Raw genomic sequence first — 27,389 nt, 5'->3', positions numbered from 1 at the left:
GCCAACTACCTGAGCAGTTGCATACCACTGAGACTTATAAATTTTTATGTGCCCATACATATTATAACTGAAGGATCTGACATACTCACTGAGTAATTCTCCAGGGCATAGATGTACTTTTTCTTTTTATAAGTGATTTCATGTGGAACTAGGAAAGCATCTTTAACTTAAAGGAGACATAAGAGTTTGATTGGATCAAGTCAATTTGAAAACCATGCTCATTTTTTTCAAAGACTTTTATTTTTAAAGCTATTGTTTTCTCCATAGATTTTATTATCTATTAGTTATTTTTTTAAGAAGGACCTGCGGTAAAAAATTAATAATATTCACACCCACAACAACAAAAAATAAAATTAAGATATTCTAAAGACATCATTTAACTTTTAAAATATTTTTTATTTCACTACAAAGACTTTTTAGAAAGTCTACATACTCTGAAAGCCCAAAGAGGGCAAGGATTGTTTTGTTTGTAATATTTTTAATTTTTTAATTGAAAGCAAAATATTTTATATGCCTTTGGGGAGGAACAGGAAAATATTTCATAAAAATTAAAAAATGCATAAAAGATTATAGTATTTCAACAATTATTGACCACCTGAAAATGATAAAATGATTCACTTTTATTCATTTATTATAACAAGATGTAATGATAGCCATATTTGCTTTCCTAAAGTCACATTTCATAGTTGGTGGCAGACAAACAAGTAACCATAATACAGGATAGACTAAAACAAATTATGTTGGCCCATCTTTTTGCCCTACTCTAATCAATAATGCCCTTACAAACAATAGTGCACTACTGTAAATCTAAATGTCAGAGTCCAGATTCTTTCTTTATCATTTCAGTCTAGCCTGCCTCCAAGATAAAGGAAACAGTGACTTCCATGGTCTAGCAACCATGGGTAAAATTTCTGAGCCTGAGGCCTTAGAAGACTGAGGCTCTGTATTTACATTTGCCTTTATTGGTACCTCTGATTATGAGTCTTTCCCAGGGGTCTCTGGTGCCAGTTTATTTTTTCCCGTCTCTCCTTTTCTTCATTTGCTATTAGGCTATTATTGCTAAGGTTACTTCAGGTACTATTGTTTGCTTCTGTTCTGTGATACTTCCCCTTTTAACTCACATGGCTTTCCTTCTCCCCAGATTAATACCCTGGCCTGCCAGGAGATTCAATTCAATGTTTATCAGGAACCTAGTCTGTATAGATGTTAGACACTCATCTGCATCTATTATTTAGCTCCCTAAAGAGCTTCACTGGTCTTCACTCTCTTCTGTGTGCATGGGGCTCAGAAGGGCACTTACAGAGAAGAGACTAATGTATGGGAATTCATTCCATTTTTATTGGAAAAACAGTTCTTCTCTAAGAAAAGATTTTTTTAAGCAAAAGTGAGAAAAATATGAATAGAAATCATAAAAGTGTACAGTCTGTGAATGAACCCCTAATAAAAGTTAGCTTTAAGTGTCTAAAAGGCTTAAAAACACATTTCCCTAAAGAATACTTTTTATTGAATTTTTACTTTTTCAGTAAAAACCCCAGAGCCACATTATCAAAAGTACCTGAAATTAAATTTTATTTCTACCACACTCAATTATAATGTATAATATAAAAGTACAATTTATTTTATTTTATTAAAAAAATTCAGGAACACACTGTTCTTGCGAGTGGAGTCGGCTGGGCAGCTGAGAGGCAGCAAAGCTGTGCCCTGGGAGCTCATGAGGCAAACATAATTTTTTTTTTTTTTTTTTTTTTTTTTTTTTGCGAAGGAGTCTACAGGAAGGGATGTGAGGAGAAAGTAAAGCAGGAAGCCCTGGGGCAGGGATATGGAGGAACTCGTGCAGGCAGAAACTAGGGAGCAGGGCATTTTGTGTACTTACAAGCGCATGTACAAGTCAGGAGAGCTCAGGGCTCCGTCTGCTACAGCTGAAGCTACCAGTTGATTTTCAGCGTGATGGAGCAAGCAGAGAGGAGAATGGCTACTGGGCCAAACATTTGATTTCTTTACAACGTCAAGCAGGCTATAATAAAAATTGGAAGAGATATCCAGAGTAATGTAATTCATAGAGAAAGAAAGTAGAATAGTGGCTGCCAGGCGCTGGAGGAGAACTGGGAACGAGGAGTTTGATGTGTAATAGGTACGCTGTCTCAGTTTTGCAAGATCAAAGAGCTCTGGAGATTGGTTGCACAACAATGTGGACATACCTGCTGTGTGGTTTTTTCCTTGTCACTTGCTCTGTCCCTGCATTTCAAAGAAGCTGCTGCCTCCTTTTACCCTGACAATATGAGTGTGTCTGTCAAATACATTGAGCGAATACTGTGGTGTCTATATGGGTACAGTTACTGTTTTTCAACAGCAAGCTCTTTCACCAGGATAGAATTTTCCTCACAGAAATAATCTGAAGATATAAATAACCATGTGCATCTGCCTGGCTGTTTCCCTGCACACACACGCACGCACAGCTGTAAACAGCGGACACACAAGCGACTCAGCAATCCTGGGCTGCGGGTCTCTCAGAACATTCAGCCAGTATACCTGGAGCAGGCTCCGAGGGCGGGCAGGGAGAAGCCAAACTGGCCTGGTCCTGCCCGCAGAGAGCCTTCAGTCTGCAGAGACAGGCCTTTTAACCAAGATGCAATGGCCCTAGAGCGCGACGACAAGCTAGGTGTGAGAAGTCCCCAGTCAGACCAAGCCAAGAACTGGAGAATGAGGGAGCCCAAGGACGTTGGTGTGCAGACAGGCAGAGGAAGGGAAGGGGTGAGGAGGATCGGGGGGAAGTGCAAAGGTTGGGCAGAAGGGGCAACAGATGAAAATGATCCCGACCCAAAGAAAATATTGTCATCAAAAGCACAGAACCTGACTTAAAGCCACACACTTTGGAGACAGGACATACAAAAGCTGTTTAGGTGCTGCTGGACAGACCCTCGCCTGCTGAAACGGCTGTAGGACAGTCTGGGCCCATCCGTGCTCTGGGCTGTCGTGGCGCGGGGCAGGCGGCGGTGCGGGGCCCATGCAGTCCCCGAGGAGGACACTCAGTCCCAGGCGCACTCCGCTCTGGCTGCACCGCCCCAAAGGCGTCTGCGTCTCGCCATTGTGAACTGCCCTGCTGCTCATTGCTAAGCCATAAGGGACAGTCCTTCCCCGCCTGCTAGTTACACTACCAAATTCGCTCATTCTTCTCCAAAATCTTAACAGCGTGAAGGCTTTTAATGTACCGAAATAGAATGATTTTCAGCTTGTCCAAGGAAGAATTCCTACATTATGGTGTCAATTCTCCCAAGCTTGTGATTTTACCCAAGTGTGGAAGAAGATTACCTTTATTCATCCATATCTCCTATATTTTCTTCCTAACATAGTGGTTAGTGACACTGACGTCTAGGGTCAGGCAGACCCAGGACTGAATCCCGAAGTCAGCTAATAATTGGAGGATATTTCGGATGTTACTCAACTTCTTAAACATCCATTTCCTCATTTCTAAAATGAACAGAAATATAGAACCTGCTACCTGGAATTCAACATTAGATAATGAGGGAAACAAGTAACTGCCCAACTCAGCTAAACTCTCAATAAAATGGCTGTTTTTCTTATTTTTATTTGTATTACTATTTCATTCTAATTTAAGTGTTTTTAAGTGATGTCCTCATACTTCTGGTAGACTATTAAATGAAACATGGGCCTTTACAATAAAGACAACAATTTTAATTGTATGTTCAAAAAATCAAAACAAGCCCATTTTTACAGGTACAAAGACACTTCAGAGCCACTTCAGTGATCGTGGCCATGAATGAAGGCCACCCATGCTATTTTAGATTGAGGAAGCCTGCACAACAGCAAGACATTTCTCTGTTAAGTATAGTCCTATCCAATGTGCTCTGCCTTGGCTGCATTTTCATTTTTTTGCATTGCTTTCTTTTCTTCATCTTTGGTCATTAATTAGCTCCTGACTAACTCATTCCATTCTAGCCCTGTTCTCTTCTTCCCTCTCCTCTCCTCTTCCCCCTTTCTTCTGTCTCCTTCTGTCTCTCTCTCTCTCTCTCCCTCTCTCCCCCGCTCTCTCTATTTCAGTGCATTCTAGTCTAAGTTGGGGAATTAGTTGTTTCAAATCTCTTTCATATCCCAGCATCTCTTTACTGTAGAAAGGCAGAAAGGGCTTTGAAGAAAAGAGTGACCTACATTTCAACATCCCAACGTCCATTAGGTTGAGTGGACCGTTGTGAGCTGGGTTGGCAACAGGCCCCGTGGGAAATATTTTGCAGGTATTCACAAATGATCCTCCAGGCATCTGTATTATTATTATTTCCCCTTATGAAGATATGAAAACTGAGGCTCCAAGGATATCCCCCTGGTCACAAATCTAGTAAACAGCTTTCTTGGGAAGCCAACTGAAGACCGTCTAACGCCCAAGCAGTGTTTGTGGTGCCACATCTCCACTACAGAGTCTGCATGTCTTCTGACCTTCTAACTTTATCTTTGATCAGCTCTTGCTATGAAGCCTTCGCCTTTCCATCTTCTGCCTATGACAGGATTGACAATGGAAAAGAGGAATGAATGTAAGATAGGGTGAAAAGGGCATCTGGTCTTTATTTATTTATTTATTTATTGTCTCCTTTGAGTAAAGATAAGTGAACACAAATAGGATCTTCATCAGCATCTTTCCCCTCAGGGATCCTTGCCCAGGCCACATGCCTAGCCTCTTACCCTCGGATGTTTCTGTTTGCTGCTCTGTTTTCCTACTTAACTTTTCTTTTGAAAATGTTCTGATCTTGGAAGATAAAAATAATGAATTCAGTATATAAAGATGAGATCTAACTAGTAAGAGCACTGGGCTGGGTTTCAGAGATGGAGGTGACCTTGCACAGGTCTCTGGGATGGAGCACTCTCAAAACAACCTTTCATATCCTTCCTAGTTTCAAACAAAGCACTGCGTTCAAAATGGGAATGAAAAAAAGCACAGTCCCTACATTTTCTGAATTGCTTTGTCTGTTGTTTTTTTAATTTCTGAAAAAAAAACAGTCTAAATTATTTATGGGTCTAGCACAAGAAGTTAAACATGCTTTGCAGTCATATGCCCATTTTTATCTATTGAGTCTGCTTTGGCTTGCTGAGAGGACTTGTCATTCATCCTTACTTCATCTTGCAGACACTTCTCTAAGCTCTCCACTTCCCACCCACCTTCCCTCTCAGACTGGTTGCTCTTCTCTTTGAATTGAGTTGCAATGACTGTGCCTTCCCACACCTCATTATTAAAACATGGAATCAAAGTCTAAAATATATCCATTTTTTTCTCACAAGCACTTCCTGCTGCAAATTGTCAGCCTCTGCCCATGGTCACTGAGACAAGCCCACCTCCAGTCTCTGAGCTGCTTTCCTCTATGATTCGTTTCTGCACATAGTAGCCAGAATGATCTCTTCAAAATCAAAGAAAGCATGCCATTTAGTCTTGCTTAAAATATGGTGGTGGCTTCCCATTGTACCCAGAATTTAAGCAAAATTTCTCTCCTTGGCTTTACAGTATCCTGCATGATCAGGACTCAGAGCTCCCTTCTCTTGCTTCCTCTAACCTGTGGGCTCACTCCTACCTGGGCGCCTCCGCTCTGCTGTTAACTCTTCTAATCCTGGTATGGTTGGTTTTGCTCTGTCAATTACATCTCAGTTTAAAATTCACTCCTCAGAGTAGGCTTCCCTGGACAAATTTAAGACACTTTTCTTTTGGCATGACATTTAAATATTCTGTGCCAAACACTCAGGAACACTCCACAGGCTATTTCTGTTTCTTATTTCCTGTTCCTCCTATCCTCCCAAACACAAACACTCCAATGAAAGTTTCATGAAACTAGGGAACTATCTGCTTATTCAGCCCCACAACCTGGCAGAAATCAGGCAATATGTACATTTTTAGAAGAAATACAAAAATGCAAAAACACAGAGAATAAGTGGATGACTTGCCATCCAATCCTTTCTGTTTGTGTCTGAGGCACTTAACTAATATAATTTCATATAAATATCACTTTATGAAACAAAAAAAACTTATTTTCCTATTTCTTTCCATTTTCCACACAAATATACACACACTGAGCCTTCACATCAGGCCTTGCTTTTCTCAAAGAAGATATAGGATCTAATTAAATGTATCACTGATTGCAAGGTACCTCTGGATGAATATTGCTTCTGGGGTAAATTGAGACATGCATCTCAAAATTAGTAATAGTTGCCAAGAATGACAGTAGGTCTTCTTTCCAATTCTTTCTCTATCACAGTTTTTGAAATAAAAATAAGAATAACTAACTCAGGGAGCAAATGTAGTTTGTAAAACTAGCTGTTCACTGAAAAAATAAATGAAAGACAATTTCATGTAATTCACCACCAACATGAAAATAAACAAATAAGTAGGAAAAAATGTTGAAGAAAAGTCAATTTAACAAATTCTCAATCCCATTAATTTATCTCTAAGACAAAAACTGTTAAAATTATATATCAAGAATGGAGCCTTTACACACACACACACACACACACATATATATATATATGTTTTGTGAGTCTTGCAGGCACACAGTCATATTGTTTTAAAACAGGAGAAATCTTTCCTCGGACTGAAAATAAGAGTCCCCTTCTTGTGGACTACCTATGATTTATGTGTATAGAGAACCTGTCTGTTATAGTTATTGGAGAGCTATCTTGCAAGTCCTATGGATGTCAAAAGCATTCAGATCAGCTTCATATTCTCATCCTGAAAACAGTAATAAGAAAAAAAAATTATCAGATTGTGGAGACTGCATGTCAATTTGACAACCCTGCACAGCTCCAATGATCTTGAAGGCAAGCGCTGCTGTGCATGTTGTGGCGATTAATCGAAACATGAACCTTAGGAAGCTTCCTTGAATAGCTTTGTATCATATCACCAACATCAACAAGCATACTAAGGCAAAGATAATCGGGTATTCTTAATATGAAATTCTAAGAAATTCCAGAAATCCTTTTATCCAGCACTACTATAGGTAAAGAAGAATGAAAAAATCTCTTGAATATTGCTAAATAATCTCGGCAGTTGAGGTGATTATGAATTAAGGCAGTCTAAAAGTTTAGTTTGCAGTTATATTTATTAAGAAATTTCTTTTAATTTTATTCCGCCAAATATGTCTTTAAGTACACAGCCCATAGCCACCTCTAGGTCCATTTGGAAGAGAGCCATGATTCGCCCATTGAGAACCATCACTGACAGTTTGGACATGACAGCTTTTCTCAGAGAACCTTTCCTGGACTATCATTTCCATGGACGTGTCCATGGACCCTGCCTGGACCTGTGCACTCTCCATGTTCTTTCTCTAGTTTCACTCCGCAATTGGAATGTTAGTCACAGAGAAGTTCTGCCATAAAGGGATTATGCCTAATTTTGTTTTACTCTACATTTCCCAAAACCAATTACCCACAAGATTCTTTTATGCCATAATATATATATTAACATATGTGGCACTGTAGTTTGCAGGATACATTCTGGGAAACTTTCAGCAATAAAACTTATTATAGATGCAATTTTTCTTAAGCTTCTTACATTATTTTAAATAGAGTCGTTGGATTTTATAGCTGTAAGTACTTAAAATGATCTAGTTCAGGGCCTTCATTTTACAGTTGATGTAGGGAACCACAAAGTCACACAGCCTATACAAATCACTGATCTGGCACGTGAGGACTATGTTCTTCCAATTCCTAGGCCAGGCCAGGGCTCTCTTATGACACCAAAAGAAAAATAATCCCTTTTGCATTCATCTTGAGAAATAGTTGAAAGAGCAAGGAACTTGAAGTGAAAGACCTGAAGATGATTTCATCATATGTTAACTATGTGCCCTTGGGCATATAGATTCCTTTTCTGGAAAACAGATGTTTTATTCATGCTTTAACTCTTTATCTCATGGAATATTTGAGAAGTCCAAAGAAGCAAATAAAATATATGAAGGCACCCGCTACAACATGGAGGGCTAGGAAGGTATTGGCGCTCATCAATGGAATATTATTGTGGCTGTGGTATTTTATTGGCCTCCATTTGGAAAAGATTAAAACTCTAAGGTAATTTTTGGGAATTAATTTTATCGGGCTATCGTTACTATGTTTTGCTAATGGAGTTGTGGCATGTGCTTCCAGATAGGAAAATAAGGAAGCTGGATGATTTGAAATTTTGTAACTTACATTCATTCTCTTTGGAAAACAGCATACTTCCTAGTATAAAAAAGTGAAAACTTGAAATGATGAATACTCTTAATGAATTCAAAGAGGAAACAGCCTAACATTCTAACGACATAAAAAATTGGGGCTTATGGTAAAATATTTATATGATTTCCACTAAGAAGGTAGAATTCTTAGCATCAAGAATCTTCTATTACTTAATTTGAATGAAAACACAGAACTTAATGTCGTTACTATAGCATTGTAGAAGTATGTTTTGTTGAAATGAAATTCTATATGTTATCAAATGGTATCCAAATTTATCATTGTTGTTTTCATTTTTATTTTCTCCAAATATTCCTTTCTTGACCTCTGTATCTGTAATTTTATTCTACAGTTTTAAGTTCAACTGATTTGATCTATGCCAAATGAACAGGAATACTCTTTTCTTCAGTATATACTGTGTTTTCATTTTTATTCCTTGCTTCAAATATTTCTAATTCTATAAGATACACTGATGCATATTAATGAAAGCCAAGACTCACCAAAGTGAAGCAGTAAATTTCATCTCATCTGGACCTCAGCCAGACTCTTTTCTTTTTTTTTTTTTATTATTATGCTTTAACTTTTAGGGTACATGTGCACAACGTGCAGGTTAGTTACATATGTATACATGTGCCATGTTGGTGTGCTGCACCCATTAACTCGTCATTTAACATTAGGTATATCTTCTAATGCTACCCCTCCCCCTTCCCCCCACCCCACAACAGGCCCTGGTGTGTGATGTTCCCCTTCCTGTCTCCATGTGTTCTCATTGTTCAATTCCCACCTATGAGTGAGAACATGCGGTGTTTGGTTTTTTGTCCTTGTGATAGTTTGCTGAGAATGACGGTTTCCAGCTTCATCCATGTCCCTACAAAGGACATGAACTCATCTTTTTTATGGCTGCATAGTATTCCATGGTGTATATGTGCCACATTTTCTTAATCCAGTCTATCATTGTTGGACATTTGGCTTGGTTCCAAGTCTTTGCTATTGTGAATAGTGCCGCAATAAACATACGTGTGCTTGTGTCTTTATAGCAGTATGATTTATAATCCTTTGGGTATATACCCAGTAATGGGATGGCTGGGTCAAATGGCATTTCTAGTTCTAGATCCCTGAGGAATCGCCACACCAACTTCCACAATGGTTGAATTAGTTTACAGTCCCACCAACAGTGTAAAAGCGTCCCTATTTCTCCACATCCTCTCCAGCACCTGTTGTTTCCTGACTTTTTAATGATCACCATTCTAACTGGTCTGAGATGATATCTCATTGTGGTTCTGATTTGCGTTTCTCTGATGGCCAGTGATGATGAGCATTTTTTCACTGTATTTTGGCTGCATAGATGTCTTCTTTTGAGAAGTGTCTGTTCATACCCTTCACCCACTTGTTGATGGGGTTGTTTTTTTTTCTTGTAAATTTGTTAGAGTTCATTGTAGATTCTGGATATTAGCCCTTTGTCAGATGAGTAGGTTGCAAAAATTTTCTTCCACTCTGTAGGTTGCCTGTTCACTCTGATGGTAGTTTCTTTTGCTGTGCAGAAGCTCTTTAGTTTAATTAGATCCCATTTGTCAATTTTGGCTTTTGTTGCCATTGCTTTTGATGTTTTAGACATGAAGTCCTCGCCCATGCCTATATCCTGAATGGTATTGCCTAGGTTTTCTTCTAGGGTTTTTATGGTTTTAGGTCTAACATTGAAGTCTTTAATCCATCTTGAATTAATTTTTGTATAAGATGTAAGGAAGGGATCCAGTTTCAGCTTTCTACATATGGCTAGCCAGTTTTCCCAGCACCATTTATTAAATAGAGAATCCTTTCCTCATTTCTTGTTTTTGTCAGGTTTGTCAAAGATCAGGTGGTTGTAGATATGCGGCATTATTTCTGAGGGCTCTGTTCTGTTACATTGGTCAATACCTCTGTTTTGGTACCAGTACCATGCTGTTTTGGTTACTGTGGCCTTGTAGTATAGTTTGAAGTCAGGTAGCATGATGCCTCCAGCTTTGTTCTTTTGGCTTAGGATTGACTTAGCAATGCAGGCTCCTTTTTGGTTCCACATGAACTTGAAAGTAGTTTTTTCCAATTCTGTGAAGAAAGTCATTGGTAGCTTGATGGGGATGGCATTGAATCTATAAATTACCCTGGGCAGAATGGCCATTTTCATGATATTGATTCTTCCTACCCATGAGCATGGAATGTTCTTCCATTTCTTTGTATCCTCTTTTATTTCCTTGAGCAGTGGTTTGTAGTTCTCCTTGAAGAGGTCCTTCACTTCCCTTGTAAGCTGGATTCCTAGGTATTTTATTCTCTTTGAAGCAATTGTGAATGGGAGTTCACTCATGATTTGGCTCTCTGTTTGTCTGTTATTGGTGTATAAGAATGCTTGTGATTTTTGCACATTGATTTTGTATCCTGAGACTTTGCTGAAGTTGCCTGTCAGCTTAAGGAGATTTTGGACTGAGACAATGGGGTTTTCCAGATATACAATCATTTCATCCGCAAACAGGGACAATTTGACTTCCTCTTTTCCTAATTGAATACCCTTTATTTCCTTCTTCTGCCTATTTGCCCTGGCCAGAACTTCCAACACTATGTTGAATAGGAGTGGTGAGGGAGGGCATCTGTCTTGTGCCAGTTTTGAAAGGGAGTGCTCCCAGTTTTTGCCCATTCAGTATGATATTGGCTGTGGGTTTGTCATAGATAGCTCTTATTATTTTGAGATACGTCCCGTCAATACCTAATTTATTGAGAGTTTTCAGCATGAAGGGTTGTTGAAATTTTTCAAAGGCCTTTTCTGCATCTACTGAGATAATCATGTGGTTTTTGTCTTGGTTCTGTTTATATGCTGGATTGTTTATTGATTGGCATATGTTGAACCAGCCTTGCAAACCAGGGATGAAGCCCTCTTGATCATGGTGAATAAGCTTTTTGATGTGCTGCTGGATTCAGTTTGCCAGTATTTTATTGAGGATTTTTGCATCGATGTTCATCAGGGATATTGGTCTAAAATTCTCTTTTTTGGTTGTGTCTCTGCCAGGCTTTGGTATCAGGATGATGCTGGCCTCATAAAATGAGTTAGGGAGGATTCCCTCTTTTTCTATTGATTGGAATAGTTTCAGAATGAATGGTACCAGCTCCTCCTTGTACCTGTGGTAGAATTCATCAGCCAGACTCTTTTCATCTGAACCCAGCTGGGAGTTGAGTCCTGTGTGCATTCATAGCACCACTGGTGTCCCAGATTACCCATACTTTAAGTCAGCTTTGCTTAGATCTGGCATCATTCCCTAACCAGAGCTGCCAACTCTTCAAGGTGGGAGAAAGGAGTCTCTAGCATTAAAAATAAGTGGTTTGCCAGTCTCACTAGCTGCAGAATTTAGGACGACAGAATGTTCTTCTCTAGAGACATGCGAATTAGAGCTACGTAAGTTATAACCTTCTCTGACCCTCTACGTGGTCAGTGATCTTATGGAATAGAGGACAAATAAAAACATCTAAATATAATTTGGATTCCAAGGGAGGAAATACCTATTTCTTAAATGAAATGAGTGATTTGCTATTAATTATTTTGGAAGCTGCAGGGAAGAAACAATAATCTAAAACAACTGCATTAGTCCCTGGAAGAGAAGCACTGTTCACATCAGACAGGGTCACTAAATGCTAGATGTTGAATGAATTAAAAAGAGTGCGGCTAAACACACATGCATTACTGAAAAAATTAAAAACTACAACAGGAAGTACATGTGTTTCTAAAACAAAGCAACATATTTCAGTGTATGTGTCTGTTTGCAGCACTACCCAGTGGGCATAAACAATTCTTGAAGCTGTTTGTTGGTGCTGAAATTTCCTCGTGATGATCTCGTAGCACCTCTTACTCATCAAATAGGCACTGTGAAATTTTGCCAGATGGTGAGATACAGAGATATTACTGGAGTTGTCAAATCACTGAAACCCTTTAGCAGTAAGAGGCCAACCAGAGTAAAAGTTGCATTCTTTACGCCAATCCTATTCTCAAGTCACCCTGAGATTGGTCTAACTGTTTCCTTAATAAGTATTTGTATTGGCAATTTGAGTAAAATAAGAAATAAAAACATGAGACAGTCTTGTTTTATAAGGATTCAATAGCACACCAGCCTGAAAACACACACACACACACACACACACACACAGGTTTTTTATTCCACCATCAAAAAGCAGCATGAATCTATAACAGCATTTTGAGTGTGGCTGAGGAAGAGTGAAGAAGAAATAGCAACTTTTCAAATTCTGTAACTTGGAACATACACCATGATGTCATTGTTGTTTTGACAGTGAGGGTATCTCTCTTCTTTAACCTGACCCCACCCTACATGATCATATGTAATGGATGTAACTTGAAAAACTAAGTGAATGGCGAGGCATGGTGACTCACTCCTGTAATCTGAGCACTTTGGGAGAACGAGGCCGGTGGATCACCTGAGGTCAGGAGGTTGACACCAGCCTGACCAACATGGTGAAACCCCGTCTCTACTAAAAATACCAAAATTAGCTGGGCATGGTGGTGGGCACCTGTAATCCCAGTTACTTGGGAGGCTGAGGCAGGAGAATTGCTTGAACATGGGAGGCAGAGGTTGCAGTGAGCCGAGATTGCACCATTGCACTCCTGCCTGGGCGACAGAGAGAGAGTCCATTTCAAAAAAAAAAAAAAAAAAAAAAAAAAAGATTAAATGAATTAAAATGTGTATTTGCTTTTGAGAATTTTTGTAAATTCTACAACTTCCCATAAAGTAGTTTATGGCATCCTGTGGTGAAGCAAATCCAAGGTTTCCTCGCATTAATGCCTCTCTCTGAATTATTAAAGACTCATAAATAATTAAAAGAAAAAAATTTAAAAAGTAAACCAAGCCTCTTAAAAAATTATTCACCACGTTATTAAAAAGAAAAATAATCAATGCAGAAGATTTTGAGTTAAGCAGCACACATACAAGCCACCAATCCATTAGTTACTTTGCTGTCACCTAATCTGTCTATCATTCTGCCTCCAATTCATTTTACACACTAATTCCCAGTTAATATTTCCAAAGCTCAAAAATATTCTCTCTCTGTCCCCTTCCTCCAGACTTTATCCAGACTCCTTTACTTGGCACTCAAGTCTCTGGAGTTTTAAATGCAGCCTGAAATATATTATTCTGCCTCAGTATCGCCCTTTGCCTGTAGTGCTCATCAGTCCAAGGGAAAGATCTGTCATCCCCAGTTCTATCCGGAATGTGTCTGCCTTTTGGTTTTCTGGAACTCTGGAACACAGCGCCTGTAAATAATTATGATTGGATTGCAGGAGATAAATGGCTTCTTGCTTGCCTGGGAGGTCCTCTCTTTCATGGAGAAGTCTTCATTATTCTTCCAGCTATAGCTTTGGTCTATCTGGAAGAATAAGGGTCTATCTCTTTGGTATAACCTGCATCCTGAAGCTACATCTGATCCTCCCAAATTGATATTATTTCCTCTGAATAAGGAGATGTCTTTTGCATGTAGAAACCTGGAAACTTTAAACTTTATTACAAGTTCTTGCCCTTATCCTTTCAGTATTGCATCTAGTGATCTGGATCTTTCCACTTTAGATCTTATGAAAATTTTGGAACTGAAAAATTAATGCAATGTCAAGACATTGTGCCAACCTAATGGGTAAAATATTTTTGCTTGTGTTCTTTATTGGTAATTCTCAAGTCACAAGAATCAAAAGTCAAAAAAGTTTAATGATCTTTACATGAGACAAAATACACCATAATTGGGGGGGAAGAGAAGGTGCTGAAATTTCATAAGCAAATATATTGTGTTTTGGTAAGTACTGGAGACTTTGGGGGCACATTTTAAATCATCAGATTCAATGAAGGATGTGGGCAATGGCTTTGGACACAAAGAAATTGGAAGAACAAAATACATTTTTCCTTCTGCTCTGCCCAAAATCTTTCCTTCCAATGGTATATATTGACATATGGTGAAAAGACCATTGTATTTACTTGCAGAAAAAAAAACAAAGACTGTTCACCAGGTATAGAGTAAGCATAACTGGACTTGGAAGATGAATAGGGTGATTCTCTGAAGTACTGCAAGACACTGAAGGATAGGACCAAGACTGAGGAGAATACCCTCGCTCTTGTATCTGTGTAGAAAAGTGCACAGTCCTGGGGACAGGGAGGAAGCTGCTGTAAAGCCAGATTAATTTGATAATCATGATCTTAAACTACAAATGTCAGTAGCGAGATGTAATAAGATGCTGATGGCATCTTATTATTTGCTTAAGACCTTTCCATTAAATGCCAGCCTAGTAATTAATTCTTCTTAATGGAACTTTTCACTGCTTTAATCTCACTTTCAGTGATAATTAACACTTATCAATTCTCACTACAAATGAAAAAGCTATTTCAGAGAAAGGGTTGAACTCAGACACCTGGCACTCTTATGGTGAAGGCAGGTTGAGAAAAGGCTAAAAATTATATTTACTGAACTTTTTTTCCTGTCCAAATTAACCAATTCGAATTAAAACAAAGTTTATATATTATAATAAATTAATAAAAATTGAGAACAAAAATCAATGAAAAGTGAAGATTTTATCAGATGAAAAACTTGCATCACCACGTATGTGCAATGAGCAAATGTATCTACCAAAGCAGAAAGTAAACAATACAGAAAAGTTCACAGTCTCATGTCTACAGAAGTAGATTTTATAATAGATAAAACAAGATGAAACAAATGGCTGTGTCACATGTGACAAAACACCATCCTGAGAACAGACTGTAAGCTCCCTGAGAACAGGCTTTCTGCATGCTAAGAGGACAGACTCCAAAGCCAGACAGGCATTCTTCAAGCCCCTTTTTCTTGCCATTAAACATGTGACTTTGGGGAAGAAATAACCTATACTGTACATCTGTTTTTTCATTTGTGAAATAAAAATCACAACTGGCCCAGCTTCGAAGGACTGTTATGAGGATGATAAAATACTTACGCCCTTGGGACAATGCCTGGCCAATAGTGAGTATAAGCTATTGTTATTATTCCTGGCATTTTTTCTAATAGAGTGCTCTCCAAATAGTAAAGAAAGCACAAAAATATTTTCTTGACATTGTTTATAGATTATTGAAAAAAATCTTGCTAGCAAATTTGTGATATGGCACTAAATTTACATAAACATCTATTTGCATTGCAATATAACCATCGAACAATTATTTATTATTTAATATATGCTAGATATACACAAAGTAGCACATAAAAATATGCCTATATAGTAAAGGAAATAATTTCACACGTCATCATACCCATTCTTGGTTACAAATTCACTACCAATGGAATAAAAGTAAAATAAAAATAAATTATTTCCATAGGTTAAATATGTGTTTTAGTCAAAAAGACTGGAATAGGCTGGGCGTGGTGGCTGACACCTGTAATCTCAGCACTTTGGGAGGCCAAGGTGGATGGATCATTTGAGGTCAGGAGTTTGAGACCAGCCTGGCCAACATGGTGAAACCCCGCCTCTACTAAAAATACAAAAATTAGCCAGATGTGGTAGCGGGTGCCTGTAGTCCCAGCTACTAGGGAGGCTAAGGCAAGAGAATAGCTTGAAGTTGGGAGGCTGAGGTTGCAGTGAGCAGAGATTGCACCACTGCACTCAAGCCTGAGGAACAGACCGAGACTCTGTCAAAAAAAAAAAAATTAATTAATTAATTTAAAAAAAGACTGGAATAAGCTATAGACTTTTTTTAAACAGGAAAAACAAAAATGGTAACTAAACACTTAAAGTACTGACTGTATTTCCCGTACAAATCAACAAATTTACAATGATTTTATGGACTAATAACTATAAATATACCTTTTTACAAAGACAGAAACTGAGGCTTGAAAGAAGCAACTTTACCAAAGCTTCAAACCTAATTAGACAGGCTCCAAACTCTATTTTTTTCTCAGATTTTCCCAATAGAGACAAGAAAAATAGTCCAAGAGAGACTTGAGCAAGTAGAAATTGAATCAGAAATAGAAACCAGATATATTCTAGAGATGAACATTACATGCTGAGTATACTTGCAGCAAAAAGTCATAACAAGGAAGATGCACAGAGCTTAGTTGGGTAGATGAAGGGGAGGCATAAGAAAGTCCAGCATAAAACACTGAAACAGCAGGAACTCAAAAATGGACTCCCTTTAATTTCCATATAGACTGAAAGAAAAGGTAAAATGAAAGGAGATGAAAGATCACAGGAGGAAGTTAGAAAAACACTGAATTAGTAGAAATGACATTTGGGAAAAAATAGATAAAAGAGGAGGATGATAACTAAAATTTGTAATATGCCATTTGGTTTTAAATATCTTTGAAATTGCAAAAGCCAGAGTGGGCCCTATTTGTGTTATTTTCATGAAAAACATTCGGTTATCTAAAAATGGAACATTTCTGATGGGGCTAGAGAGGTTGGAGCAATCAAGGCGCATGACAACAACCACATTAAGCAGCTAAAAGCAACCCAGTGTCTGCTTATGGAGATTTCACATTTCCCTAGAGACTATTGTCCTGGTGTCCAGAGCAGGATTCTCTTGAGCTTCCACTCATAAGCCCAATTATTCATTTCTGAATTCATTTTCTGTTTGTTAAGGTGAGTAAGCATGAGAATCAAAGTGAAATGTCCTTGAGAGGAGAACAGACTGATTAGACAGTGAGTTGTTGCATTAGCAAATATATCCAGGCCTCAGTCACTGTATACATATCCAGAAGTTCATAAAGAAACTCATATAAAAAGGAGTATTACATTCCATTAACATCATCGTCATCACCTACTGAGTGCCTCCTTCTGTACTAGATTTGTTAGAATCCACAGGAGAACTGTATCCTTACTGCTAAATTGATGTGTAGATTGTCACAGTTGACTTTTATCACCCTCATAGGTATAAGCAGAATTAATGGCAAATATCAGTGATAGCTAAATCATGCCAATTTAATAGACGAGTGTGGTCAGTGCCAGAGCGTCATACTAGACATTTCATGAAACAGTGGTATCATTTCAATGTTTTCTATTTTAACTGAAAATAAAGGTCAGAGATCCCATGCTCTATCCTGTTCGGTATGCCATTAATTTTAACTTGCCTTAATAACTACTGTATAAATAAACTCTAATTTATATTAAATTCTATTTCTAATGTGGTTTGATAATACTTAATGTGCCATACATGGCTATCAATTATAGAAAAAATGAAATACACTAAACTTCAAAATTATACTGAGAATAATTCCATCTATCTTGGAGGTAACAAAGACAATTTTTGGAAGAGATCACTAATGAATACCTACTATCATGGAACTGGATAAATATCAAAATGTTGGCTAAAAATGGAAAATAGAATAAAAATGTAGAAATGAGAAAAGGGGAAACTTTGTTTCAACAAATATGCCTAAACAAGGTGAAAGTGAGTAGAACGCACCTGTTCCAGAGGTTTCCCACATGGGAAGAAAGAAGGACTAATCCAACTGTCAGTAAGTATTTGCCAGAGTCCTCTAAAGAAACAGAACAGATAGAGTATATGCCTGTGCCTGTTTACCTATTATTCACCTATGTATATAATCTCTACCTATCTGCCTAGTTATCATCTACCTGTCTATCAATCTACCTAGCTATCTATGTAGAGAGAGAGAGAACTAGAGAAACATTGGGATTGATTTGAAGGTATTGGCTCATGTGATCATGCAACTGTGGAGAATGACAAGTCTAAAATCTGCAGGGTCAGCTGCTAGTTGCAGACCCAGGGCAGAGATGACACTGCAGCTCAAGCCTGAAGGCAGTATGTGGCAAGACTCCCTCCTCCTTGTGGGGAGCCAGTCTTATCCTTCCAAGGTCTTCAACTGATTAGATGTGGTCATCCACTTGAAGAGTAATCTACTTTGCTCCAAGTCTACTGATTCAAATATTAACCTCATCTAAAAAATACCTTTACAGGAACATCTAGAATAATGTTTAACCAAATATCTAGGTACTGTGGCCTAGACAAGTTGACACATCAATCACACTGAGTGCCTACTATAAACAAGGTGCTGTGACTTTTGTGAGGCATACATGTTATTTAATTTAACTTGGGTGGAGTTGAAAATAACTTCTGGGAATTTAATGGATTTGATGCAAGCTATTTTTCTCATTTTGAGCTTTATGTATAAGTTCTTAAATATCAGACATTGATGAGAAGCTGAAGAAAAAGTCTTTCTAAATTGAAAAGATTTACAAACACGTTTTATCATATTGGCTATGGAAAACAGAGAAGAAAATGAAGTCTCTGTGAAGTTCTATTTTCATGAAGTTTTAAAACTCACTGAAATAAAGTGGGAGCTATTCATAGCATTGCTACATGCATTTGAGATTAAACAATCATCAGAAGGTACAGTGCAAAGACCAGTAGCTTGTAGTAAAGGAAACCTCAACCTGTTAGCACTGGACTGAATTCCACCCAGCTGACAGAATGGAGAGGAGCAAGATATAGGGGCAATGCTTGCTTGATCAGGAAAGTTTTCTGCATGGTAAAGAGGCAAGACTAGTGACTTCTAATTTATTGGAGAGCATACTACATACCAAAAGAAAAACACTATTGCATTGGAATAGTAATATAAACCAAGTTCTTACAAACTATGACTCAAAAAAGAAAATAAAATTGTGAAACAGCAGTATGAAAATGAACATTGAAAGCCCAAGACATAAACCAAAACAAAATCAGCCGTGCCAAGATCACAGTTGGGCAATGTGCCAAAAGACATTTTCCAACACTAGTTTCTGATCTCCTGTTTATTTGAATCCTGGCAGAGTGTTTGCAGCAAACCGTTCATACAGCACATGCTGTGGGTAGATGTCTTGGCGCTTTGCTTCCTGAGGAAGGGAAAACTATGGAGGTGGTATGATTAAGGATGAAGAGGGTTTTCTAACTTAGGGTTGGATTCATTCCCTTATACTTTATTCATGCATCCACTCATGTATTCCTTTAACTAATCTGTTTAGCTTTCATCTGCTACAACTACAGGAGGTGCTGTCATGAAACTGCAAGGAGACGGTCACTTCTTGGATTGCGCTTCCCGCCTCTGGCTTGAGAAGCACCTACTCAGGAGTCGTGGATCCCTGGCTGTACCCCTGCTCCTGCCAGATACTGCCTGCCTCCCTGCTACAAACAGCCCGGGAATCTGTGGTTAGAACCACTCTTTGTTGGGCGCAGTGGCTCATGCCTATAATCCCAGAACTTGGGATGCCAAGGCAGGTGGAACAACTTGAGGTCAAGAGTTCAAGACCAGCCTGGCCAGCATGGTGAAATTCCATTTCTACTAAAAATACAAAATTAGCTGGGCGTGGGGCATGCACCTGTAATCCCAGCTACTCAGGAGGCTGAGGCAGAAGCATCTCTTGAACTGGGAGGAAGAGGTTGCAGTGAGTTGAGGTCACATCACTGCACCCCAGCCTGGGTGACAGAGCAAGGCCATTATCTCATTGCATCCCAACGAGAGGAGAAGAAGGGCAGGATGCATCTACTGTCTCTATCTGAGGTAAATACAGACTCAGAGACTCACATGGGCCTTGAGTGGCAGCACAGAGTTGGAACAAGACCCGGCTCTTTTTAGAGCTCTTTCCTCATGATGACCTTGTTTCCTGACTCATTTATATGTGATATATGTGAGCATCTGCCCATTACATGTGTCTGCATGTATGTGTGTGTTACTCAAAATAACACATTGTGCCATTTGAACTGCAGCATCTTATGGCTATAAGGCACCCTAGATATCACCCGCCCCCCAAAAAAGAACCACTCTCTCAAGTCTCTCAGCTTCCTGCATGCCCCAGGGCTAGTCTCATCTGCTTCTCATCCTTGCTGACCTCACATTCCAACTAGCCGCCTCATCTGATTATGAAGCTCATCTTATGGTCAGACAGTCACCTGTGCTCTCCCCACCCTACACCTCTTCCTCTCCACCTCTGACCTTAGCTGCCTTCCACAGGGCTTTGCATTTGTTTCTCAATGTCCGCTCAAGGGCAACCTACTAATCTGAGCCCCAGGGAGGCCCTGGGAGCAGAGGGGAAGCTGGAGAATGTTTGTCCGGCTGCCATTGACATGGCTTTTCTTGCCATTCTCAAACTCCCTGAAAGTCAATTACAAATCCCTTTTGTAAAGCCAGTAGAAAAGACGCTATTTTTTCTATACTTGGATGGACACTCAAGAGGTGACTTGATAGTACTTAATTGTGTGGTTTCAACAAGTCATTGAATTCTCCCAAGTCTGTGTCCTTCTCCATTAGAAAAGGGTGACAGGAGTTCCAAATTTACGAGGTAAATGTGAGCCATGTGATCTGATGTAGAGAGGGCATTTCAACAAATAGCTGCCTCCGCAGATGCTTTCAATCAATGTTAGCTACCATTGTTCTCTTTTAAGTATATCAGGCATATTCTCGTGCAATAATGTATAGTAGAAAGTCTTATTCTAAGGAATTCCACTAAAATATTATTCTTAGCAGTGATGTAGAAATACTCAGAAGTTTTTATTTAGCAAGGTAATCATTGCAAACACAGACCTTCAACAGCAACAAAAAAGACAATATTGAAAATTTTGTTTCAGGAAGAATGTGGGTCAGGATGCAAGAATGATTATGTTTAAGGAATAGCAAGTGGCTCCAACAGGCATCCAAGTTTCTACAGGTTAGAAAGCACCAATTATTCTTTTTCCTATAATCAAAAGTTTCTCATCCACAGTGGATTCTGGGCCTATGGCTGATGGTGGGATATGGATTTCTTATTAGGTGCCACATTCTTATCAACATGTTTAAATAAAATATCAATGTTAGTAGCATTGCTGCATATGATTTTTGCCTGGCAAACAACAATGAATAGAAATTTATTTTAAAGTGGAAACAGCTCTGAGGGGGGATAAAAATAGTCCAGCTATGTTTATGAAGTAGACTCCACAGAGAACAGGGTGACCCTGCATAACCAAGCTTAGCTAAACCTGTAGATCCACTGACAACTGTCCATATGTTTTATTCTTGCCCAAGCCAGCATCTAGGATTCTGGAAGATGACAGTCCTATCAAATAGAAAGTTTTCAAGATAGTATTTCAATAAAAGCACATTTTCCTATACAGGTAACTTTCCGCTCCTGATAATGCTCTTCCTGTGTAGGGCCCTAGGGAGTCCTCCACATTTCCTTAATCCACGTAAGATATTCAATACTCTACCCAAGAATAGAGGGGCCATTATCTCATTGCATCCCAAAGAGAGGAGGAGGAGGGCAGGATGCATCTATTGTCTCTATCTGAGGTAAATACAGACTCAGAGAGTCACATGGGCTTTGAGTGGCACCACAGAGTTGGAACAAGACCCAGATCTTTTTAGAGCTCTTTCCTCATGATGACCTTGTTTTCTGACTCACTTACATGTGATATATGTGAGCATCTGCCCATTATATGTCTCTGCATATATGTGTGTATTACTCTAACACATGGTGCCATTTGAACTGTAGCATCTTATGGCTATAAGGCACCCTAGATATCAACATATCGTCCTTTCAAAGGTAATGTAACTTTCACTCAAAGAAATAGATTTCTTTTTTCAAAATCAGATTTCTAATTATTACTAAAGGTGGGATCAAAATCCATCTTTTAGCAATCAATTCTGTATATTATGCTGTAAGTGGCCCAAAAACATACAATTTAACCCTTCATTACCTACTTTATTATTAACTGTTGTATTATCTTGACTCTTGATTTATTAATACAGTTGTAATTGCCTTTGCATTCCAAAATATTCAATGTTAACAGCATTATTTATGCTCAATAGATATTTGTTGTTACATTAAATCGATACAAATTGAGAGTCAAGAAAACAAATCACTGCATACACACACATTCTTATGAAGCATCAAATATGGTAATTAGATATAGGTCTGTTTGGAAACCAAATCTATTCTCCAAAGAAAAACAGTTACAAAAGGAAGCTTCTCAGGTCAGCTCATATGATCTCAGCTTAGTTCAGTTGCACCCTGTGTGGGTTTACAATGCACGGTAAAAGAATGCTGAACTGAATCTCAAGCAAATTTTGAGTTATACTGTTGACGCTAATTAGCTGTAACACCTTGGGTAATTTATTAATTTCATGGGATCCAGTTTTTTAAATCTCAAAAGCATAAGGGTTAAACTAGAAATCCTCATCCATTTTACCTTAAAGGATTCAAATGGACTTCAGTAACATTCATGGATAAGCAAGTGTGCCATGCAGATAGGGAAAGGTTACCATTTGTATTCTAAAAACTAACTGTAAATTATAGCATACTTCTCTACACAAAAACTTGGATACAGCTGTTCACAAAAGCATTATTCATAATAGCCCAAAAGTAGAAACAGGTGAAATATTCATCAACTGCTAAACGGATGAACAAAATGTGGCATTTCCATATAATGGAATGTTATTTAGCCATAAAATTAAATGAAGTATTGACACGTGCTACACAACATGGATGGACCTTGAAAACATTGTCCCAAGTAAAAATGTCAGTTGCAAAAAACACATATATTGTATGATTCCATTTATATGAAATGTCCAAAATAGGCAAATCTATACAGACAGAAAGCAGATTAGTGTCTGTGTAGAGCTGAGATGGGGCAGTGGGGAGTGACTGCTAGCGTGCTAACAACACCTCTGTGGAAAACAAGTCAAGGGCCAATGAGTGTGATGCCAGAGCATTTGGAATCCCATAAACTGAGGGCTCCAAGTCAGTGGAGTCCTATTTATCAATGACATTTAATCAAGAATAACAGAAAAGACTTGTCTCCCCCTTTTGTCCTGCCTTCTTGCTTTTCACCAGCATGCTCTTTCCCAGGGACAGCAAGGAGGGAGGAGAAAGCCCTTGGCACCCGTACATTTTCCTCTGAGCCTAATTTCCATAAATCAGAAAATGCTTGCAATATGATTTAACAATTACTAATGAAAATATCGAGAATTTCATATCAGCTACTTATTTTGAGTAGTTGAGAAATAATGAAGCAAACAAAAAAATTCAAAAGAGCTAATTAGATGAATTTAACGTGTATATTGCAAGGAGAATCATATTTTGCACATTAACTAACAGATCAAAAAGCATGTAATTTTATGCTTAAAAGCACACTTTCAAACACAAGATACTTTAGGCTTTGTTTGAAGCTACATTTACACTGTTATGAAGGCCATAATCTTTGCTTTGGGGACCCAAATGGAGAAATTTCTCTGATAATAAGAATTATCTTTCTACTCTATGACCAGTAATGATTTATCTGTAATTATGTGCTATACTGTTTTTGCCTAAGAGTGATCCTAACTACATTTCATAGTAGTAAATTCTTGGATTAGAAGGAAAATGTTGGCTGGGCGTAGTGGCTCACGCCTGTAATCCCAGCACTTTGGGAGGCCAAGGCGGGTGGATCACGAGGTCAGCAGTTCAAGACCAGCCTGGCCAACATGGTGAAACCTTGTCTCTACTAAAATTACCAAAATTAGCCAGGCGTGGTGGCAGGCGCCTGTAGTCCCAGCTACTTGGGAGGCTGAGGCAGAGAACTGCTTGAACCCTGGAGGTGGAGGTTGCAGTGAGCCGAGATCACACCACTGGGTTCCGGCCTGGGCTACAGAGCGAGACTGTCTCCAAAAAAAAAAAAAGAAAGAAAACAAAGAAAATGTTGACAAGCCACTCACTCCTGGAATTGTAGGACACTGCCCCCTGTTAGCTGTTCATCTCTCCATAATGGATGTCCTTTCACTCCCTATTTTGTCAAAATGGACATCATTTTTCCACCATTCTGTCCGCAGGTATGTGCCTCCCTGCTGGATGTGTGCCTTGTGTTCAGCCCTACAGTGAACCTAAAGTGCTGATCTGTGATCCCCATAGGCTGGGCCTTTGTCCTTTTGTGGGCCTCTGCATCTTCCTTGGAGCCCTAGTAAATGGCTTCTCTCTCACCTACCTTCATTTCGTGGTCTCCACATTTATTTGAATCCCCAACCTCTTACCAACACTGAAGAGTTAAATCTTTAACTGTGGAAGTTCAAGCATTAAACTTGGACAGCAGAATTTTTTTTTTAAGAGCTAGACTCTAATCTCATGATCCACAAGTCCTATGTCATTTGAATAATGTTTATTTATTTGTTTATTTTTTAAGATGCAATCTCACTCTGTTGCCCAGGCTGGACTTCAACTCCCGGTTCAAACCATCCTCTAGTCTCAGCCTCCTGAGTAGCTGGGACTACAGGCACACACCACCATGCCTGGCTTTTAAAAAAAAAATTTGTGTGGAGATAGGGTCTCCCCATGTTGTGCAGTCTGCTTCATCTGTGTAGTTTTAAAGCCATCACCCCTTTCGGTCAACTCTCCAAAACCCAACCAAAGGGCAAAGGGGAAGGTAAGCATCTGAGTAAGTAACCTGGCTCAGACTGAATGACATTCCAGTTTTTACATTTATCTGCATAACTGTAAAATCAAGTAATCGAGGGTTCTCTGCATTCTGGAACATGTTTCTTTCCTGCTGGACTATCCTTCCCAAACATTCTGCCTGCTTGTCACTCATCTGGTGTGTGGAGACACACTAATCATGACACACTTACCCCCCTACATGAGGCTAGACCAACTTCAAGTGCTTAAACTACTTCACACAAAGTACAGCAATAATGAAGTAAAGGAACATAAAGATAAACAACAACTGTAGTTAATAATACATTTAGAAAATGAATTCATTTCATTGGAATGAGAAGAAATATACTCTATGTAGGACTGTCATAGCTAAAATTAGCTCAGGGGAATGGCATTTTGCTGATGTTGCTCTTCCCAATCTTTTTTACAAAACATGGCTGTCTGCTGGAAACTGTGAGAATGAGACAAGACCCATACAGTTCTTCAGGATCCCCACATGAACACCAGTTAGGGGTGCAGAAGCACCATCTTAATGATGTGCTTCTAGAACTGGGTTAGGTTACTGACTATGCTACTTTTGTTAGAGCTTTTTAGCATGCTGTCTTAAAAGACTGAATTAACTTACTCATCTTGTAACTAAAATTTCATACCCTTTAACCAAAGTCCCTCCATTTCCCTCACCCTCCTATCCCCTGGCAAAACACCTTTCTGCTCTCTGTTTCTATGAGTTCTTACATTCCACATATAAACAATAACATGCAGTATTTGTCTTTCTATATCTGGCTGAAATAAAGCTGGAGGAGGGGAAAGAAAATCTTTAAAAAAGAGAGAGACTGAATTACCCATGCTTATCTAAGTTAATATATTATTTACCATGGTTCTTAAAGTCCCATTTTTTTTCTTTGTTTTCCTACTTTTATTTATATGAAGGATGATCAGTGGGTCCAGGATATGTCTGTCTGATCCTTTCATATAGCTGTTTAGCAAAATAAAATTAAAAAAAAAGAGAAATGAAAACAAATACATGCAGAGAATATAATCCAGGTAGAAAACTGCTATTTTGCAACCCTCAGTAAAATAAATGAAATTGGGAAACACTAATCAACAAAAGTACAATTTTTAAATGTGGATCTGGAGACAAACCTGTGTCTGGTCAGAGCTACCCTACGCTATGAACTGCCTGGCTGTACATGACCCATCCAATTTCACAGCTGAACCAAACTTACTTACCACCCACATTAGTTTTAACACACACTGAGGAGATATGCTAGAACCACTGTATAAAATAGCAAAATAAAGTTGAAGATTGCCAGTTATCTGAAAAGATTAGATTTTGTCAATTTGGATACTTCAGTCAAAGGACACTGTTTGGGTTGTTTGTTTTAGGTTTTGCCTCAGTTGTACTATATTGGCTTTGTAAGGTTCTCAAACAAGTTGTACAATGTGTTTTGCTCAAATGCTTAAATTATGTCTTTGCAGAACCTAAAATTACTATATTTGCAAAAATAAGTTAAACATCTTTCTGCAAAATGAAAGTAACCCAGATCAGAATTTTAAATCCCTATGATCTTAGTATCGGTGAAACCTGTTAAATAAATAGCAATTGATGTATGTAACACTTCAGGAGACTTCTTTGATCAGCAAATCTGTCTAGCTGGAGAGAAACGTATTCTGGCAGAGAAAACAATATATGGCAATGAAAAGAAAGCAGAAGAAACATGGCATAGAAAATGAGATGACATACTTGGGTCCTAGAATTATTTTGCCAAGGGCTCAGAAGTCAATGTCAAGGGCTTCTCAGAGCTTACTGCCCATAAATCGACAAGCCTGAGAAAAGCTTATAAATGATATTAATCTCCATGATGACACAGCGAGGGAATACAGAGCCCTTTTCATGTGTGACAATGCAGTTTTGCAGCGTGGGCCACCACAGTGGTTTGGCAGCATCTCTAGTAATGTTGGACAAAGATTTAGCCTTTGTCTTTTACTGAGGAGAGTACTGCCAATGCGAATATTGGGAACTCCTCCCTTTCTGGTGAGTTAACAACATTTGTAAGCAGCAAGTCAATTAAAATCAAAAGAATACTACTAAGTTCCTGGTAAGAGCCAATCATGTTAATTCATTTCCCATTAAAGACAAGTAAGTGATGAAAAGGTACTCCCAGTGGATTTGTAACTGTAAGAGCTTTACCTCTTGCCTGTGCATGTGAATGGGCTAAAGAGGCTTGAAGCATTCACTGGACCCTGCCATAGTGCAAGGCTCTGCCTCACCTGAGGTGCCAGGGCAATGTGCGTGCTGAGCTCCTTATGAAGACAGCCTGCCATCGAGCCAGCAGGGACTGGAACTCTATTGGAAGACAACATCACTTTACCGCATGAATGCAATCTAATGAGATCATTTTAGGTTTAAAATTATTTTAGCTAGCAAAAAACAAAGAGTGAATTGTCCAGTCAGTACACACAACAGATTTAGGAGATAACTGAATGTATATTGAAATAGATTACACAAAGTCTTTGGTCTTTGGTCTTGAAAGGAAATGAAGTGTGCCAAATATTCTGACTAAGAGTGTTCTCACTTATAACATGTATAAATTATGAACCTTTTATAAACATAACACTAAAGATACCTAATATTAAAATTGTGCCAAGCATAATCTTTCTTTGGATGTTCATGGAAACACTTCAGATTTGATCACATTTTTTGAGTCATTGATAACAGACCAATTAAATAGATGCCAGTTAAACATTCTGCTTACTGGAATACTGGAAAATAAACATTTAGCATATATTGATC

General features: G+C 38.6%; 1 protein-coding gene across 19 annotated transcripts in view; it reads right to left on the bottom strand.

The window, feature by feature from the left end:
- Positions 1-27,389, bottom strand: part of SNTG1 (syntrophin gamma 1) — an 886,897-nt gene that overhangs the window by 814,415 nt on the left and 45,093 nt on the right. Inside the window, exon 4 of one of the 19 annotated variants that reach the window (XM_017013579.2) lies at positions 1,874-4,508. The exons of the other annotated variants lie outside the window; for them this stretch is intronic. The gene's annotated coding sequence lies outside the window, so the exon portion shown is untranslated. The remainder of the gene's footprint in view (positions 1-1,873; positions 4,509-27,389) is intronic. 19 annotated transcript variants of the gene reach the window in all.

This window comes from Homo sapiens, chromosome 8 (assembly GCF_000001405.40).
Source record: "Homo sapiens chromosome 8, GRCh38.p14 Primary Assembly".
NCBI classification, from domain to species: Eukaryota; Metazoa; Chordata; class Mammalia; order Primates; family Hominidae; genus Homo; species Homo sapiens.
Note: the sequence above shows the minus strand (reverse complement) of the source record. Positions and strands in the feature narration are given on the sequence as shown.